The sequence below is a fragment of the Homo sapiens genome, chromosome 12, assembly GCF_000001405.40.
Source record: "Homo sapiens chromosome 12, GRCh38.p14 Primary Assembly".
NCBI lineage: Eukaryota > Metazoa > Chordata > Mammalia > Primates > Hominidae > Homo > Homo sapiens.
The window spans coordinates 22317367-22336079 of NC_000012.12; the positions used below are offsets into that span (position 1 = coordinate 22317367).

General features: G+C 42.2%; 1 protein-coding gene and 1 long non-coding RNA gene across 3 annotated transcripts in view; both read right to left on the reverse strand.

Moving 5' to 3' along the window:
* Nucleotides 1–17341, reverse strand: part of ST8SIA1 (ST8 alpha-N-acetyl-neuraminide alpha-2,8-sialyltransferase 1) — a 141317-nt gene extending 123976 nt beyond the window's left edge. For both annotated transcript variants that reach the window (NM_001304450.2, NM_003034.4), the window contains exon 1: nt 16631–17341. Coding sequence is in view for 1 of the 2 variants with exons in the window: in NM_003034.4 (NP_003025.1) it covers nt 16631–16866 (236 nt within the window). In the remaining variant the exon portion in view is untranslated. The remainder of the gene's footprint in view (nt 1–16630) is intronic.
* LOC105369151 (uncharacterized) lies at nt 6765–16624 on the reverse strand. Its single transcript, XR_931426.3, has 2 exons — nt 15487–16624; nt 6765–13742 (listed from the first exon to the last, which is right to left on the reverse strand). It is a non-coding gene; the product is annotated as an uncharacterized LOC105369151 (long non-coding RNA).
* Nucleotides 17342–18713: the final 1372 nt, after the last annotated feature.

Genomic DNA, 18713 nt, shown 5'->3' on the forward strand with positions numbered 1-18713 from the left:
CAAGACTTACTTTCTCACACAGTTTATGAGAGCCAGGAGTATCTCAGCTGGAGGGCTCTAGCTCAAGGTCTCTCATGAAGTGTAGTCAAGCTGTCTGCTGGGGCTGCGGTCATCGGAAGCTAAAGGATACGCTTCCTAGTTCACTTACGTGGTTGTTGGTGGCCTCAGTTCCTCACTGGCTATCAACCAGAACTGCAGTTTTTTCGCACAAGGGTCTCTCCATAGACTGCCTGAGTGGCCTCATAGCATGGCAGCTGGTTTCCCCCAGAGCGAGTGATCCCATAGGGAGAGAACGAGGGCACTCAAAATGGAAGCCATGGTCTTTTCATAACCTAATCTCTGAAGTGGCGTGCCATCTCTTCCATAGTATCCTATTCTATTCTAGTAGTGAGTCACTAAACGCAGCCTCCACTCGGAGACAGATGACACAAGGGCATGAATACCAGGAGTGGGGATCACTGGGACCCATCTTAGAGGTTGTGCATCACCATGTATAACACATGTTGAGTGTATCTAGATATTTCTGTAGACACAGCTGTAAAAATTCATACACAGTAAGGAGATTATATATCTCAGTTTGTTGGAAATAGTCTTAGTTTGTGCCTGTTGTCCCGGCATAATTATGGCATTTTATCTCAGGTATCCCAGTTTAAATAATGAATTATACTCTAAATAGGAAAACATCTGGAAGAATAGACATCAAAATGTTAACATTATTTATCTCTAGGAAATGAAACTGATAAGACCTTTATGTTTGATTAATACACTTGCATAAGGCAACAAGTGAATTATTTTAATAAAAAAAATACACATTGGATTCTCTCTCAATAACTCAAAACATTATCACATAGATTCCACTTCAGAGACAGTGACTGTAGCCGAAAGGAAAGTCCATGGAGATTTCAGCAATGGAGAGAAATGAAAGAATCACTTCCCTTTTTGGGTGCGCAGAAGTCTCCACACGATTCATTGCTCCACTCCTGTTTCTCAGTTGTACAGGCCATAGTCTCCCTTACTATGGTATGGCTGGCATCTTTTCTAGGCTTCCACCTCTTACAGATAAAAGGGGGAATTAAGCAAGTGGGCTGTGAGAGCTAGATAGTTAAGAGAGCAAAGAATCCTAAAGCTAAGCCACTGGGATGAATCAGAGATGTTAGGCAGAAAAAGGAAAAAAAGAGACATCCTCCTTCCCCCTCTTTTCCCTGCCTCCTTCTCAAGCTAAGCCACTGGGATGAATCAGAGATGTCAGGCAGAGAGAGGAAAAAAAGAGACATCCTCCTTCCTCACTGCTTTATTTGTACGGCTCTTGAGGAATGGGTGATACAAACAGCCTTTGATTTTAACAATATCAAAATAGAATAAAGTGTTAATTCACCTATACAAAATGAAATTTTATCATTTGCGATTCATTCCTTTGCAGTAAGACACTGCAATATAAGGGACTATCAGGCTTTGACTTGAAGCCCTGAATGCAAATGTGGATCTTACCACAAAGGTTCAGCACAGTAAGGAAGTTTGCGAGTCCCAGAGCCAGACAGACCATTTTCTAACTATGTAACCCTAACCAAGGTCCTTAAGCTCTTTGTGGCTCAGTTTCTCCATCAAGAAAATGATGATCTTAACATCCACAAACATCCTTAAAAGAGGAGCTGATGCATAGTAAGCATTCATTAAATGCTAGCTCTGGGCATTACTGACTGCCTAACTGCCCTTAGGTAAATAATTGTTCACAGCCTGTTTCTTTGTAAAATAAGTATAATAATATCTTCTTCATTTTGCATTTGCGAATGTTAAATGATAAGACTGTGTAGAGTGCTGAAAATAGTGCCTGGCATATGGCAGACACAAAATAAATAGCAACTCTATTACTGAAAATACTATCATTATTGTCTCAAAAATGGAGCTGATCTAGGGTTAAATTGACTGATAAAATCTGCATTAAAGCATCTAGCACTGTGCTTGCATACAGTTGGTACTCAATAAATGTTCATTAAATCTGAACTTAATTTTCCATATTGCATCTCTGTTTTAAAAGTCCAAAGAGAATTTTTTGGACTACTTATAAGTTATAAACCTTGACACCTGATACACGAGGAGCAATCTTCTGGCTTCTTAATTGGTTCTTTCCTTTTGTAACAGAATGCTCAGTGGGATTTTATGCCAGAATTATAGTTTCAGTCCAAGGCTGGAGATGCAGCTTCTGAGTATGCTGCATGAGTTGGGAGAGCCCCTGGACATATGGCCCTCAGCAGGGCTGGGGGAAGAGTCTGACTGGCAATCCAGCGCCCCCACTATAATTGCCCTTCACCTTGGCGAACATGAAGGGAAAATTGGGAGCAAGAAAAACCTATTGAGAATGGGGATTCTTCCCTCCCCTGAAGAAGAGGGAGGCCCAAAGAGAATCAAAGTTGGGGGTACCTAGCCAGAGGGGCATCATTCATCATTCCCCATTTGGAGTCTGCTTAGCTAGGAGGTGTGTTGATCTGACCACGAGCTTCCTAAGCAAGAAGAAAAAGAAATTTTTAAAAAGGCAGTGAAGAGTGATTCTAAATGGTGAAGAAACAGTTCAAGACATTCACGGTAAGCCCCATAAAAAGGAGGTGAGGGGCTTGGGCATCTCATTTGTAATGGGAAACCTTGATTTCTTGCTTAAGATGAAACAGAATGGACTCAGTTGAGCATTTCCATATGACATAGACCTGCAGAGATCCTTTAAGAAACAGTACACAACAGATTGGATCTTTACAAATTATATGAATATATTAAATTATCACATGTACCCCAAAGCTATGTACATCTATAATGCATCTATTTAAAGAAAGAAAAGGAACTTAGCTGGTGTACAATAACTAAGCTTCATGAAGGTTCAAAGACTTATCCGGGGAATAAGTATAACAAAGTGTGAGGATTTTTCCCTCTTATCTGGGAATTACAGTCAAGGCCCCACCCTGAGGCCAAAATAGGCTAAGTACCCCATCTTTTATGTTTACCACTCCACAGGTTTTCTAAGAGGACCAGTCCTGGCACCACCCAGCTGATTTATACTAGGGAAGGAGCTGCCTTGGGAGTGGCATGCTTTTGTGGTGAGGCCACAGCCTTTCCACCCCCACGGAGAGGGGAGACAAGGGCTTTCCCTCCCTGCCAACACAGAAGAGGGGTAGAGGAATCTCCAAACAAATCACCTGTAAAGAAGTGAAGCCGGGAGCGGTGGCTTACACCTGTAATCCCAGCACTTTGTGAGGCCGAGGCGGGAGGATCGCTTCAGCCCAGGAGTTCGAGACCAGCCCGGGCAACATAGGGAGATCCCTTCTCTACAAAGATAAAAATTAAAAATTTGCTGGGCCTACAGTCCCAGGTACTTGGGAGGCTGAGTCAGGAGGTTTCCTTGAGCCCAGCAGGGCTGCAGTGAGCTATGATTGCACCACTGCACTCCAGCCTGGGTGCAGAGAAAGACCTAAAAAAAAGAAAAGAAAAGAAAGAGAGAGAGAAGAAAAAAAGAAAGAAAGAAAGAAAGAGAAAGAAAGAAAGGAGAAGGAAAGAGAGAAGAAAGGAAAGAAAGGAAGAAAGAAAGAAAGAAAGAAAGAAAGAAAGAGAAAGAAAGAAAGAAAGAAAGAAAGAAAGAAAGAAAGAAAGAAAGAAGAAAGAAAGAAAGAAAGAAAGAAAGAAAGAGAAAGAGAAAGAAAAGAAAAGGAAGAGTCTGCAGAATCAACCAGACACCAGACACACCAGGCACCAGACACACCAGGCACTAGACACACCAGGCACTGCACTCCTGGATGTTTTCTCTGGCTGTCCCTGAGCCATGGAGAAAGCGGAAAGGGAGACGGAAAGATAGATGGTGAGGCTGAGAGGGGTGGGAGAGAAAGAGCCCTTTGGCGTGGCAAGGATAGGGGATCTCCCTGTGGATGGAGTGTTTATCAGGACCCCACCTAAGAGGGCTGCCCGCCAGGTGAAAGAACCAGAACACTTTGCCATTAGAAGGCTGGGCAGCCAAGCAGGGTTCACGCGGAAGCAGCCACCCCCAACAGAGAAAGGGACTATGAATATTCCCCTCCTCCCTGCCCAAACTGAAGCAGCAGCTCCTAGAGGAGGGTGGAGTGGGCTCCACCTCAGCGATTGCTCTTCTTGCCTTCTGCCGCAAGCGCCTAGAGGTTCTAGAGCCTGAGCAGGCGGAGGTGGTAGACGCCAGAATTTTCATTGTGCTTTAAAATAAACAAAACTGAGCTAAATACCAGAGTGAGACTGTCCCAAGAATCAAAGTGAATAAAAAATTAATAAAACCTGGCCAAGTTGTTCAGAGACCCATTAGAGCCAGCTAACTGGGGTGCGGGGTGGAGGTCAGGAGGTAGATTTCACATGCCATAGTTGGAGCAGTTATTAGGAAACAATAAAGTGACTGTGTTTTTACCCCAAATTGAGACTCAGCTCACTGCCTACTGACTCAGCTCACCAGAGTCTTGCTGCCGGCCCCTCCACTTCCTCTTCTTTGCTATTGCAGGGTGGCAGGTTGAGTTGAGAACAGTTGCTTACAAAGTGAGCAATCCCCTTCCAAGCCAGCCTGCCTCTGTCTCTTTGATTCTACCAGTAATTGAGCTTTGTGTTTCCCCATGGGCTCATGTATCTTTCAGCAAGGTTTTAAAGTGCTTTTCCTCTCCAGCAGTTCACATGTTGCATAGGTTAGCAAGAGTCCAAAGATATCATACCACTGAACTAGACGGAGACCTCTGCCATCGCAATCACGATTCAGGCACCACACTGAATGGACCAGAGTGGAGATTTGGGCCCTTTATGGACTGAATCAAATACAGGCAGACACAGCTAAGTTCTGAAAGCTAAGGCAAACCTGTGTTTGTTTTTCCTCCCATATAAAGAAGTGGAGAGACTGGAGAATGTTGCTGCTCCTTTCCCATTGTGTGCTGCGTGCTTGTTTGCTGTATGGGGGAAGGCCTGCGTCCTCTTGGCCTATCGCTCTGTTCTCAGTAATTAGCATTGTGCCTGGCACATAGAAGGCATCGAATATATATTTGTTGAATAAAGGAATGAAGGAGTGAATACATGAATTAGCAGTGAATATTTAGAGCCTAGAGTCTTAATAATAGACAATAAATGAAACTGTCCCTAAAAGGTATTCAGACAGCTGTCTACCAGCCTTTCAGATAATCTGATGTTTTTATTCATCCAATACTCATTAGACATTTAGTAAGGCTGTGACCAGGGACTTGAGACAGACATATATCAACAAGACTTCATTTCTAGCCCCAAAGCACCAAAGCAACAGTATGTGGAGCCATTTCACACAAGTGCAAGGGAGTAGAAGGACACAATACAGATGATATCGAGCAATGTCACAGTCACCAACACTTCACCACCAAAACACTGACCCAACAAAATATCATCATGGAATTTTTGTGCCTTTTTATGACACCTCCACCCTTCACCAGGTGGGTATGATCTGCTGCAGATTCATGCTGAAGACGTTTAATTTTAGTAAATAGGAAAATGACTCTTAAAATTAGAGTTGTGAAACATAGTATTTCTATTTTATCCAGGACACTTTTCTTTTTCCTTGAAATCTCTACCTTATCATGAAGTAAAAGTTCATTTTCCTTTTTAAATCACAGTTTTATTTAATTGCTTAAGTCCTAGAAGAAAGAAAGCTATTGCTTTTTAAATGGAGATAAAACACCATGCTAATTATCAGCTGTACTGTAATGGAGCTGATAACCATGAAAAATAAAAGCACGTGTACCACTGCACTACATAAATTCCTCATAGCTGGGTCTCTGCAATCCCAAATGAAGGGTTTACCTGCCACTGTACATATCCAGTTGTATGGGGATCTTTTTTCATTGCCTGACCTATTGTAAATCCACCTAAGGGAAATTTTATAATTTAATCTAACAATCATAGTATATCTATTTATGCAATCACTTTGCACACTGAAAGAGGCAACACCCCAAATCTGCACTTAGCCAAAGCCAAAGATTTTCTATGAACAATCAAAGATGCCAGATATAAGAATTGGTGTTTACTGATGGAGGGAGTGTAAACTAGTTCAACCATTGTGGAAGACAGTGTGACAATTCCTCAAAGACCTAGAGGCAGAAATACCAATTGACCCAGTAATCCCATTACTGGGTATACACCCAAAGAAATATAAATCATTCTATTATAAAGATATAGGCACACATATGTTCACTGCAGCACTATTCACAATAGCAAAGTCATGGAATCAACCTAAATGCCCATCAATGACAGACTGGATAAAGAAAATGTGGTACGTATACACCATGGAATACTATGCAGCCATAAAAAGGAATGAGATGGTGTCCTTTGCAGGGACATGGATGGAGTCGGAAACCATTATTCTCAGCAAAGTAACCCAGGAACAGAAAACCAAACACTGTATGTTCTCACTTATAAGTGAGAGCTGATCGATGAGAACACATGGACACATTGTGGGGAACAACAACACACCTGTCAGGGTTGGGGTGAGGGAAGAAAGAGCATCAGGAAGGATAGCTAACGAATGCTGGGCTTAATACCTGGGTAATGGGATGATCTGTGGAGTAAACCACTACGGCACATGTTTACCTGTGAAACAAACCTGCATATACTGCACATGTACCCCTGAACTTAAAATACAAGTTGAAAAAAAAAGAAAGAAAAAACCAATATAGAATTAAGACAACTTAAAGTCATCAAATGACAGTGTTATTCATGATCATAAAAATAGTAGATAAACTAAATTTCCAACAAAGATCATTGGTTAAATACATTTAATGATATTCATATGACAGAAAATTATGCAAGCGTTAAAATGTATGTCTGGGCTAAAGTTTAGTGGCATGGAAGAAATGCTTGTAGTAGCATTCGTTTTAAGTTAATAAACTCAAGGAACAAAAATTTTAAAAAGATTTTAAAAAAAGAACTGGCGCTTCAAACTAAAAAGTGTGAAAAGATTAATTCTAGAAATTTATAAGCAGGTAAGTGTTTAAGATGTATACAAAAGGATGATCACCACATCTTTATTCATAAAAGTGAGAAATTACAACATAAATATCCAATAACAGTATATTAATTAAATACATTTGTATCTATCCTAACAATGGAAAATCTTACAGCCATTAGAAGAGATGATGTAGACTGCATATACTATTACTAGAAAAATATTTGCAATGTACTGTTGAATTCATTATATTTTTGTTTCATTTATACACACATTGGCATTGAATGATCCAGAAGAATATAAACCAAAATATTAGCGATGTTTGTTAAATGTCAATTACTTTTACAAATGAAAATAGTGTTGCTTTTATCCTTTAAATATCAACCTCAAGACAGTACAGATCTTTAAAGAGGCTTTTTAATTTCCTATGCTCAGCTATACAACAACTACATATGAAGAAATCATTAAAGAAAAAAGTCTAACATAAATTTGTCAGCAGCATAATCTTTTTTTAAAGTATTTTTATGGTAATACTTGGACAATAAATAATTATTTTTCCAAAATAAAAAATTATAAAGCTATTTTTTCACAAGTTTATAAATTAAAAGTTATTTAATTATATGAGAAAATTCTAAAGGTATAATTTTGAGTGAATAAAAGAGGATATAAAATTAAATATACAAAATACATACAATTTAGTAATACACACAAACAAACATACACAAAAGAGACTGTTTACAATAAGTACTTCCGAGTGAGGGAATTTCAGCAGGCTTTTTCTTCTTTTTTACTACATTTAAAAGTTTTCTATAGTAAATATGTATTCTTTCCAAAATCAGACAAATAATAAACACTATAAATTGTTTAAATGAACATGGGGGACATAAAATCATGTACTATATATGTTTATTTTATCAATAATGGAAACAAACTAAAGATTTTGCATCCCAGGCAAGATGTAGTGGGACGAAAGGCCCTTTTCTCATTGTGGTCACCTGGAAATCTCTGATAGTGTCTTCTGTGTTTAAGATCTGAAAAATGGAGAATGTGTGGCTCTGAATTCATTTCCACTTCCTCCTGGCACCTAATTAGAGCGACACAGCTCTTACGGTCTTGGCTGCTTCCCTCTCATGCAATGCCACAGCTAGAAGACAGTTCAACAGAAAGGGATAAAAATCGATTCCTTCAAAACTCATTATCATTATCCAAAACAGTCAAACTGTAAGCCTTGGAACCCCATGTTACTTGGTTTCTTACTGATTTAAGGAATGAAACTAGGAATCTCCTCTTATCTGTGGAGGATACATTCCAAGACCCCCAGTGGATGTCTGAAACTTCAGATGGTACCAAGCCCTATATACCGTTTTTTCCTATTTTTTCCTATACATACATGCCTATGATAAAATTTGATTTATAAATTAGGCACAGTAAGAGATGAACAATAATAACTAATAATAAAATAGAACAATTATAACAATATACCTGCATCATCAGTCTTGCATTTTGGGGCCACTGGTAAAATAAAATCGGTGTTCCTTGAACACAAGCACGGTGATCCCACCACCAAGATGGATATTAAGTGACTCATGGGCAGCAAGTGTCAACAGTGTGGAGACGCTGAACAAAGGGAAGATTCGCATCCCAGGCAAGACATAGTGGGACAAAGTGAAATCTCATCACGCTACTCAAAACAGAGCACAATTTAAAACTTATGAATTGTTTATTTCTGGAATTTCCATTTAATATTTTTGGACCAAATTAACCATAGACAACTGAAGCCATGGAAAACAAAACCACAGATATGGGAGAACTGCTGTTAATTAGATTATAAAATTTGTTAATTAGATTAACAAATCAGGGACCACGTTCTTGTATTCATCACTGTATTGCCAGCACCTAACTGGTACATGGTAGACATTCAGCAAATGTGGTTGAATGAATGATTGAAATCAGTTGATTTATTGCTGGGCTCTGCTGTCTTCCATAAAATTTTGCCGGCCATAGTACAGCACCCTCAGCACTAACTCTGTGAAAAAAGAGCGTGTGTCACAAGGTCACATTTCATTGTCAGATATTCTTTTACTGAAAGTACAATTAATAGGCACAGAATTTGTCCAAAGACATGGATTTTCTCCTCATTATGGACTAATAATTAGCACTTATCCAGCAACTAATCCTCTCAAGGTAACTATTGCCACCTGCGGCTAAGGCTCAGCAAGACCAAGTAAATTTTTCAATGTCACAAAGTTGATAAATGACAGAACCAGGATTAGATCCTTATCTCTGGGACTCCAAAGTCCAGACATTTTCCAGGTGGGAACAAACTTCCTATCATCCCACCCAGCCAAGTGAGGATGGTTATGGAGTCTACATTCTTTATCTGATTTAATTATCATCACAAACCTATGAAGTAGATTAGCACATTATACTCATTTTTCAGATGATGCAACAAAGGTACAGAGAGGTTAAGTAACTTGCCCAAGGTCACACAGCTCCTGATAGAGCCAGGTCAGAATGAGAAGCTAAAATAGATTATTTTACCAGAAATCTATCAAATCCATCATGAAGAGTGCATTAATGATACATAGTATCATTATTTCCAAGATGACTCACAACTTTGTCAAAAGACTAACTGACCACATTCTATACTAACTTACATAATTATTCAATTGATCCAACTAGTTTCCTAAAACACTTTGCTCTCAAAGAAGACTGATAGACTCCCAAGTTACAAAAAACCCACTATAATTTTTCACTCGAGTATTGATTATACAGTACAGACCAAAAACTCTCCAACCACCTCCATTTGCAAGGCAGAGAACAAAAGTACAACTGTATCTAATATTGAGAAGTTATCATCAAACCAACAAACCGATAAAACATGTTCTATTCTCCTCCCTGGACAAACAAATCTGCATAACAATCTGGAATGCCAAATTCAAATTTAGACTCCTGAAACTCCAGGAAGTTTGGTCCTGCAATCTGGGGACACAGGGCAAGCCTATACCACTTGCATATGTGGGCCCCACAGCACCAAATCAAAGATCCTTCCACAATGTCTCCCTCAAAGAGCTGTCCCTTAGCCGTTCCTTGCCCCCTCTGATGTGTGGACTAGGATTGTACATACCAGGGGGGCAAGCCACTCTCAGGAAGAAGATTGGGGAAAATGCCCCACGCAGGCAGGCAGGCTGCAGAAGTAGAGTTGGGTCATTTGGGCAGGAAATTCCAGAGTCTAGAAAGATCCCATTAACACCCTGCCTCACTGAGAAAGGGTGAAACCAGAGAAAAAGAAGGATGTGGCCCCTTAAAGTATAGGGCACAGAGCATGGACCCCTCTCACCAGGGATTAAGGGGAACATTAGTGAAAATCTTAAACAGCTGTTATATTACTTTCAACAGAGACGGTTGCTTATATAAATATCCTAAAACGCCTCCCCTCTCCTGACCCTCCCTAACCAAGACCTGTCTATCAAGTACAGTTCATTCAGGCCTCTTCCAGGAGGCCTTCTCCAACAACTTGAGCCCACAGAGACACCTCCTTTCTCTAAACAGTCAAAGCATTTATATTGTAGTTTCCAAATTTAGTTCTTAATTACGCATACTTTCAAGGTTTCTTAAATCCTGTCGATAGGGCAGGTTTTGTTTCTGCAAATCAATGGTTCTCAGTCAGGGGCAATTTTCCCCCCAGGAGGTATTTTGCCAAGTCTGGAGACATATTTGGTTGTCTCATTTAGTGGACAGAGGCCAGGGATGCTGCTGAACATTCTACAATGTACCGGACAGCACTCCACAGCAAAGCAGTATGCAGCCTAAAATGTCAGGAGGGTTGAAATTAAGAACCTCTGCTCTAGAGTAAGAGCTCTTTGAGAATACAAAGGATGCTTACTCCTCTGATCTGCTACACTGCCAGAGTGCTGGACACACAGTAGGTCTCATTAAATATTTGTTGACCAATTGGGTGGCTATCTGGTTCCACACCTTCCTAAACATTCATTCACATGATATCTAAGCAAAATTTAGTGTGCCAGGGACCATGCTGGGCTCTGGGAATGCAACTAAGAATGAGGCACAGTTCCTGTCTGTGAGAAACTTAAAATTTAGCAGGGAAGGCAGGCAAGTGCACTCATATTTTTAATACATCATCACTAATGCACCTGTCGCTACCAGTTATTTGTATATTTCTCTGTTTATTTTCTGTCTCTCATCATTATCCTATAAATTCCAAGAAAACAAAAATTTTATTCAGTTCACAGCTACAGACCCAGCATCTCCTATCCTACAGTAATAGTGGTAGACACAGAGTAGTAGGTATTTTGAATAACTGAAAGGATTACAATCATACATGCATGGTATAAAGAAAACAGAGAGGAGGAGTTCTAAGCACAGCCTGGGAAGGGAAGAAGGAGTAAGGGAAGCCACCTTGAGGCGAACTAACAAGGACTGAGCATTAATTATATACTGGAAATAGTTCTAAACATTTTAAACACATTATCTAATCTAATTCTTACAACAGTCCTATAAGAAGCCCCATTTTATGGATAGAGAAATGAGCAATGAAGGCTGATTTGCTCAAGAACACAGCAAGTGATGGAATCAGAATTTGAACACAGCTGACTTCAGAACCTTTGCTCTTACCCACTATAATGCACTGTCAAGAGATGAGAAGGAACTGGCCAGGTAAAAGGCAGGAAGATGTGGCCTTCAAGTCAAGTCATTCCAGGTGGAGTGGGTGGCTCGAGCAAAACCAATATAGCCTGGCCTATTTTTAATTATTCCAATATTAGCAAAGAATAAAAAGAAAAACTGATGAAAGATGACATTGGAGAAGTAATCAGAGCCAAATCATGAGAGAGATGTATACAGCATTGCTTCATTTATCCCAAATGAGCAGGGAACAAGCATGAGGTTTAGAATTAAATAGCTCCAGGTTGGAAATCAAACTCCATCATTTTGTTCATGGATCTGTCTAAACCTCCATATCCTCATCTATAAAACAAGGAACATACACAAACCTACTTTATAAGGTTGCTTTGGGGAAAAAAAAACATATATAAGTGCTAAGAACTAGGCCTGGTATATTTTACGTATCCAGTAAGGGTTAGTGATTGATTTTTGCTATTGTGATTATTGCTGATGAGATTTTTTTCCACATTTGTAAATTTGCAACATAACTGTAGCATATTTTCTTGAGCATCAAAACTTATTAAACCCTCTTTTTCCCAAACTACCTTTTCAAAGTGAATTCCATAAACCCCCAACTTACAAACACTAAACTTATATTTTACCTGTACAGATGGCTGCACCTATGCTCCTCCCCTCCACTCCCAATGCCCTTTTCCTGCCACCAGGACAATTATGGAAATTGAGCTTTTAACATCCCTGGATTCAAAAATAGGGAAATAAAGAGGCCACATAAAGGTGGAACTGCTGAAAACAGTCGTTTGTTCAAAATTTTGAAAAAGAAAGGACTTGACTGCTTAGAGTAACGGTTACCACCCAATGAGTCGACAGAATTTTCAAAACAACCACTTCACTGTATTAACCTCTATTCTACTTCCCAAACCCACTGGTAACAGTGATGTGCCACCTCTGCTGATAGCTAACATGCAGCCAGTACCATTAGATCCTTGATGTTTGTCCATTTCTAATGAGCCATACCTTAAATACATTCAAAGACTCCTGGCTTCGTCCTACCACCCAGCCCACTTTTCTATGGTGGTCTCCATGGGTGACTTAATAACTTTCCATACAGTAAACACATCAGGCACTTCCAAATCTCTCCGCCTTGATCTTTGCTGTTCTCTCTGCCTGGCATATACTTCTATCCTCACCTCTTACCACTATGCCACCCTACCATCCTTGGAGGCTTACTCCAAACACCACCTCCTCTCTGAAACCCGATTTCCCTCCCTTCAGTAGAATTAAATGTCATGTTCTGGGAACATCCCCAGCACTTCACTGGTGTTTCTATTGTTATAACAATCACGTATTAAACAGAGCTATGTGGCAAGCATCATTCCAGGCGCTGTCTATATGCTATCATGTAATTTTCACCACAAACTTGTAAGACATTCTTACAAGCCCCAATTTACAAATGGAGGAACTGAAGCTCTGAGATTGGACTTACCAATGATTGCACAACTAGAAAGGGATACAGCCAGAATTCCAACCATGTTCTGACAGCTCCCAAATCCATAAGGTTTTCACTCTGCTATGTTTCCTGTCTTTGATGGCCCTATTTCCAGTTAGTTAATTATATACATTATCTGTCTTTTCCATGGGATTATAGCAACTCCCTTGAAGACCAGGGCATGTTCATTTTCATAAATGTGGATAATGATATATCAATTTATACAAGATTCTTATGAGGATTAAATGAGACAATACATACTAGCATAGTGTCAGGCAGATAATAAGCACCTAATAACTTGTTAGCTTAATTGTTACTATTATTGTTACCATGTCAGGTGCCATGAATAAAGCCTTGCACATAAATTCTGAATTCAGGTTCATTTCTGAGGAGCAAATGAAATGGGTGAGGATCTGATGGAAGAAACAAACACTGCTTTGGTTTGGCATTTCCCACAGTATCACTTAATCAAAAGCAACAAGAATTAAGAAAGTTTCTATAATAGGATCTATTGATTCCTTTATCTTTCTATCACCACATAAACATTAGGAAAACTTCCTGTTCTATTCAAAACTCTTACAGCTTTCTTACTTTCTTCCTGCCATCTCCTTCGCAGTTTGACAAGGTTCTTCTCTGAGAATTCAGTACATATCAAGTACTGAGCTAGAAGAAGAAAATTACAAAAGTAAATGGAAGCACAGAGGGCAAAATAAAATCTTAAATTTTGGTGTTTATAAACATAGTGAAACACTCCCTTTTCTCTTCACAGAATTTAACCGTATGTTAAGTCATCGTATTTATTTGTGTGTCAATCATCCTCTACTAGGAGGAAAGCTCTTAGAGGAGGCAATCTATCCATCCTATTCACTGCTATCCCCCAGGGCCTAACACATATCTGATGTAGAGTAGTCACTCATGAAATATTGTTTAATTGACTGATTGCAAATGTTTGTATTTATGTATGTATACACATCTATATTTTTATACATACATGACACCATTCCATGATTTGTGAATAAATGCACCTATATCTCAACATATAAGTGCACCTTGTGCATTTGTGTGCATATATCTGTATTTATGCAGAAGATGTTTCAGACTGGAGAAAAACAGATGCTTGTTTGTCAAAGTTGTGTCTCCTTAACATGATAATGGCTTCTGACTGACTGGTCTAATATTTAACAAATAAACACTACTGCCATATACTGACAATCCAAATGTTAAAGAACATTAAATGTGCAGGTAAAAAATAATTAACTCAAACCATGAAACTTCTCCTACCTTTCAAAATGTCTTGTCCCTGTTCATTAGCGTTAAGTGTACATGGCTGGGGAGAGGGGTAGGGACCAATAATGTTTACCTGTAAATCTGGCAGGAGAAACATTCCAAATTCTCATGGGTTGCCCAGATTTCCTTATTTAAGTTGTAACATATACCAGAAATATAATTTATAACAATTATAAGGCAACCATTTTCTGGGTACACAATGTACCAGATACTTGGCATCAGTTTTTATTAAAAATGTAAACCTTCTAACAACTCTGCAATGTAGATAAACAAGAAAGCCAGGACTCAAAAAATATACTAACTTGCCAAAGATTCTCTGCTGTTTATCTAGTCACAGCATACTCAGTGTAGAAATTCAGAATTCTACTCTGAAGCTCAAACTTATTTCAATAAGCAATGGTGCCTTTTACATGGTTTTACAGCCACTAACTTTGAGGGATATGTGTTTAGGTAGTTTTCATAGTGTGTGGATTTTAATAAGTAATTCTCTGCACATAGAGACCAGACCAGATAACAGCCAAACACACTGAAAATTACTCCAGGCTACAGAAAGCAAGGAACAAATGTGTCTCAGAAACTATCAGCCTGTGTGTCTCAGAATTTGAAGCATTTTCCACTTGACTGTATCCTCCAACAAGAAATCTATCCTCTAAGAGGGCTTCATTATTCCTCCTCCTATATTAAAAAAATGGACTCTTTCATTGCAAACCAATGGGAAGTTCTTAACTCATTTCCTTAGATCACTTGAAATGAAAGTGCTTTCTGTCTTTAGGGAAAATAATTGCTGGATGTGATGCCTTTTGCCTGCTCTTGAGTCCCACAATCAATACTGTGAAGGAAAGAAAAAATTAACCCTTAGATACTTTTAGGAAGAGTGAGGTTATTTTTAAATTCAATGATGGTAGAGTTCTAAAAAGGGAGAAGGAAAGTCCTCCCTTCCAAGGAGAATGCAGTTGCCTTCCTCTAAACAAATTGGCTCTGTTATCTTTTTAATCCTCTTTCCAGGAGGAGGCCTGAGAAGGAGATGGAAACCATATGTTTAAAAAGTTTTTAAAAATGTATAGATGCTCCTGAATATTTGTAAATAACTGCAGTGAAAAATGTTTACATTAGAACTCACCTGCCCTTGCACTGATTAGAAAGATCCTCTACAGAGCAGAGGAGATCATTTCCAACCACCCAGACCACTACAATCACAGGAAGAAGCCAACAGCAGCATCTTCAGCCCCAGAGACTAAAGGTGAAAGGGGCACCTCGCAGTGGTGGAAGCACCCGTGTGTTCCCTCAACATGCCTGGGGAGGTGGAGAGGAAGGGGAAGCAGCTCTGCCTTCCCTCCAATCTAACTACACAACCCCTGCTGCCGTAACTTATTTTTAGACATTTAATCTAAAATTCCCAGAAAGGAAGCGGATCTACAACCTCTGAGTGATCCTCAGAGTTCTGATTTCCAACCTGGCTTGGGCATTTTGTTTGTTTTCTGACTTCAGGTGCCTACTTAAAGTACATCTCCCATCTTCCAGAGGCATCCACAGCCTAAGCCAATAAAAAGAGCTGGGAGCTTTGGAGCTTTAAGTGATGAAAAATCCAGCACCCACAGGTCAAAAGTAATGACCTTGGGGAAGTTACTCATCCTTCTAAAGAATCAATTTGTGGTCAACAAGATGAGATAATAATACTAGACAGCTGTTCGAGATTTCAACACAAAAATTGCACAGTATCGTCTCTTAGTAGACGTCAGTCAGTACTATGCACTTGCTGTGGGCACACTGCGCAAAGCTGCGGGATCCGTCCATGTTTCCACTGCCCATCACTCCGACGTTGGGGACTTATGTTACCGACTGTGCACTCCACCTCGGGGAGATGCCTTTTACCTGCTTCTTGTTCCCTACAGCTTCAAATGTCTGCAGAGCCCAAGAGGTAAATTCTTATTAAGTGCAAGAGACTAAGTTATCCTGGGTTCTCCTTCCCTCTGTTTTGTTTATCCGTAAATTGTTAAATAAAACTCCGCTTTGGGAAGAAATGCGTCGAGTCTTTACATGCGCAAAGCAGGTGTCTGCACATCTCTGGGGATCAGGGGTGGGGAAGGAACCCTGACTAAAGTCTCCAGGTTGGGAATGGCACAAATGGAGGGAAAGGACATGGAAGAGCGGATGAAAGGGATGCCTCTGCGAGACGGTGCAAGGCGGTCCTCGCCGGTGACCCTGTCCTCTGCACTCGGGGAGGAAAGGACGCTAGAGGGGAGGAGCCGCGAGGGCAGGAGTACCTGAACGCTCTGGCCGCGGTCTGGTTCCTCCTCCACGCCGTGCCCTGTTGCAGCACCCCCTGCACGATCTCTTTCTCGTTGGGCAGCCGGTAGACGGGGAAGATGTAGAGCCAACAGAGGACCACGACACAGAGGGCACTGGCTCCCATGGGCAGCCGGGTCCGCGGGAACTTCCACGCCAGTACAGCCATGGCCCCTCTGGACGTTTGTCGCCGGGCCCGCCCGCAGGGGCTCATCGCAGCCCCGGCGTCCCAGGGGCGGGGGCCGGGGCCTCAGCACAAAGCTAGGCGAAGTGGCAGCGGAGGGTCCCCCACCGCCAGCCCCCCATGCACACACACCTTTGGTTCTCTTACTTGCAAACGCACGCACGCTTCTTCGGCCCCGTCGGCCCCAAAGGTCAGCGCAAGGATTTTTTCAAATGCAACTTTTCCAAGGATTTCTTTCTAGGGGAAGTGGCTGGGGGTGAAGTCACGATCTATGGCCATGGTCGCTTCCCCTGCAGAAGGCGGGCGCTGGGGTCTCCGAGTGCGCAGAGAGCGGCGGCGGCGAGTCGCTCCCGCCGGTTCTGCAGCATCACGGTCGCCCTCGGCGAGGGTCCGGGAGAAGGCTCGGCTCCCTCCTAAACATGTGGCCCGTGGCGTCCCCTTGTCCCCTCCGAGCGATGCTCCTGCGCCCTTCGCCGCCTCCCGCGCTGCTGCGCCGCCAGGCAACCCCCCCCCCCCCACCCCGCCCCGAGACGCGCTCTCTGCGCCGCACCAAGTCCTTGGAAATTTCCACGGCGGCCCGGGACCGCTATCCTGCCCCGGGCTCCTCCGCCTCGCCCGCCGGGACCCTCGCTCCCCACCCCTCCCGGAGAAGAAAAGAACTCGCTCTCATCAGTTAATTCAGCGGCGCGCCGCAGCCTTCCGCTGCGCCCCGGACTTCGCAGACAAACGCCCGGGGATTGGTGGAAATCAAGGTCTCCCCCTCCCTCCCCCACCCGCAAAATTGCCTCCTTCGACCCGATCCGAGCCGCGACACTCGCCCAGAGCGCGCACCCCTCACTCGTGCCCTTGTTCTTTGGAGATAACGGCAGACAATAAAAACCAACAGCCCCCCGCCAATAGAAATATATCAGTCCCTGAGTGTGGCGGAGACTGGCTAATATCCTGATCCTTCGACAAGCGGCCGGTGTGCCCAGGCTGTCACCCTGCTGCCGTCACCCTAGTCTTTCTCTAGCTGGTTGGATATTAACCCGCAGCCAGGCGCGAGGAGGCTGGCGGAGATTTATTCCTTCCTGGGCCCCCACCCCCATTAGCCGGTCCCGGAGCCGCGGCCCGTGTGTGTGCGCGCGCGCCCGCACACACACACACACACACACACACACACACACACACACACACGTTCACGGGCGCAAGCGAGCGCGCGCACGAGGAGGTGCGTGCACTCCGGGGTCCTCCGCCTCGCCTCCTCCCTGAAAGGAAGTGCTGCATCCAGATGTGCAGGCAGCTGGTGCCCAAACACTAGACCTCAAGATGTCACATTGCCTTGGAGGCGCGCGGCCTTTTAGATTAAAGGACCGTTGGTTCTTAGACGTCCTTCTTGCCCTTCTTGCTTGTGATAAGCGATAAGCTTATCGCAACCCCGACCTTGGAAAAGCACCACCCGCCTTGACCCACCGAGCCGAGAGAGTCGCTGTTAGCCATTTCTGCTCGCCCCGGCGGCCGACGCATAGCTCGGGTACCTCCTAGCGGTCGCCTATTCTATTTGCTTAAGCATCTCGTCAAGCATAAAGTGTGCAAGGACAAAGAAGAAACCTGGTCAGCTTAGTCATCACGAAAACAAAATCTAAGGCTATAACTCCATTTGTTCAGCCGACCAGGCTGCGGTGTCTGGTACCTTTGTCTAGCATCCGTCTCCACTGAGAGGTGGAACTTGAGAAGTTGATGCAAAGTTATTTACCAAAAGCGAAGTAGCATCCCAGATGACCACTTTAGTGTCATTTTCTCAACAATACTGTGCTCTTAGTTGAGTGACCTACTGCCCTCCACCGGCAGGCATGCCCCAGAAATCTCTGTCCTACTTAGGTAAATCAGTAGAGACA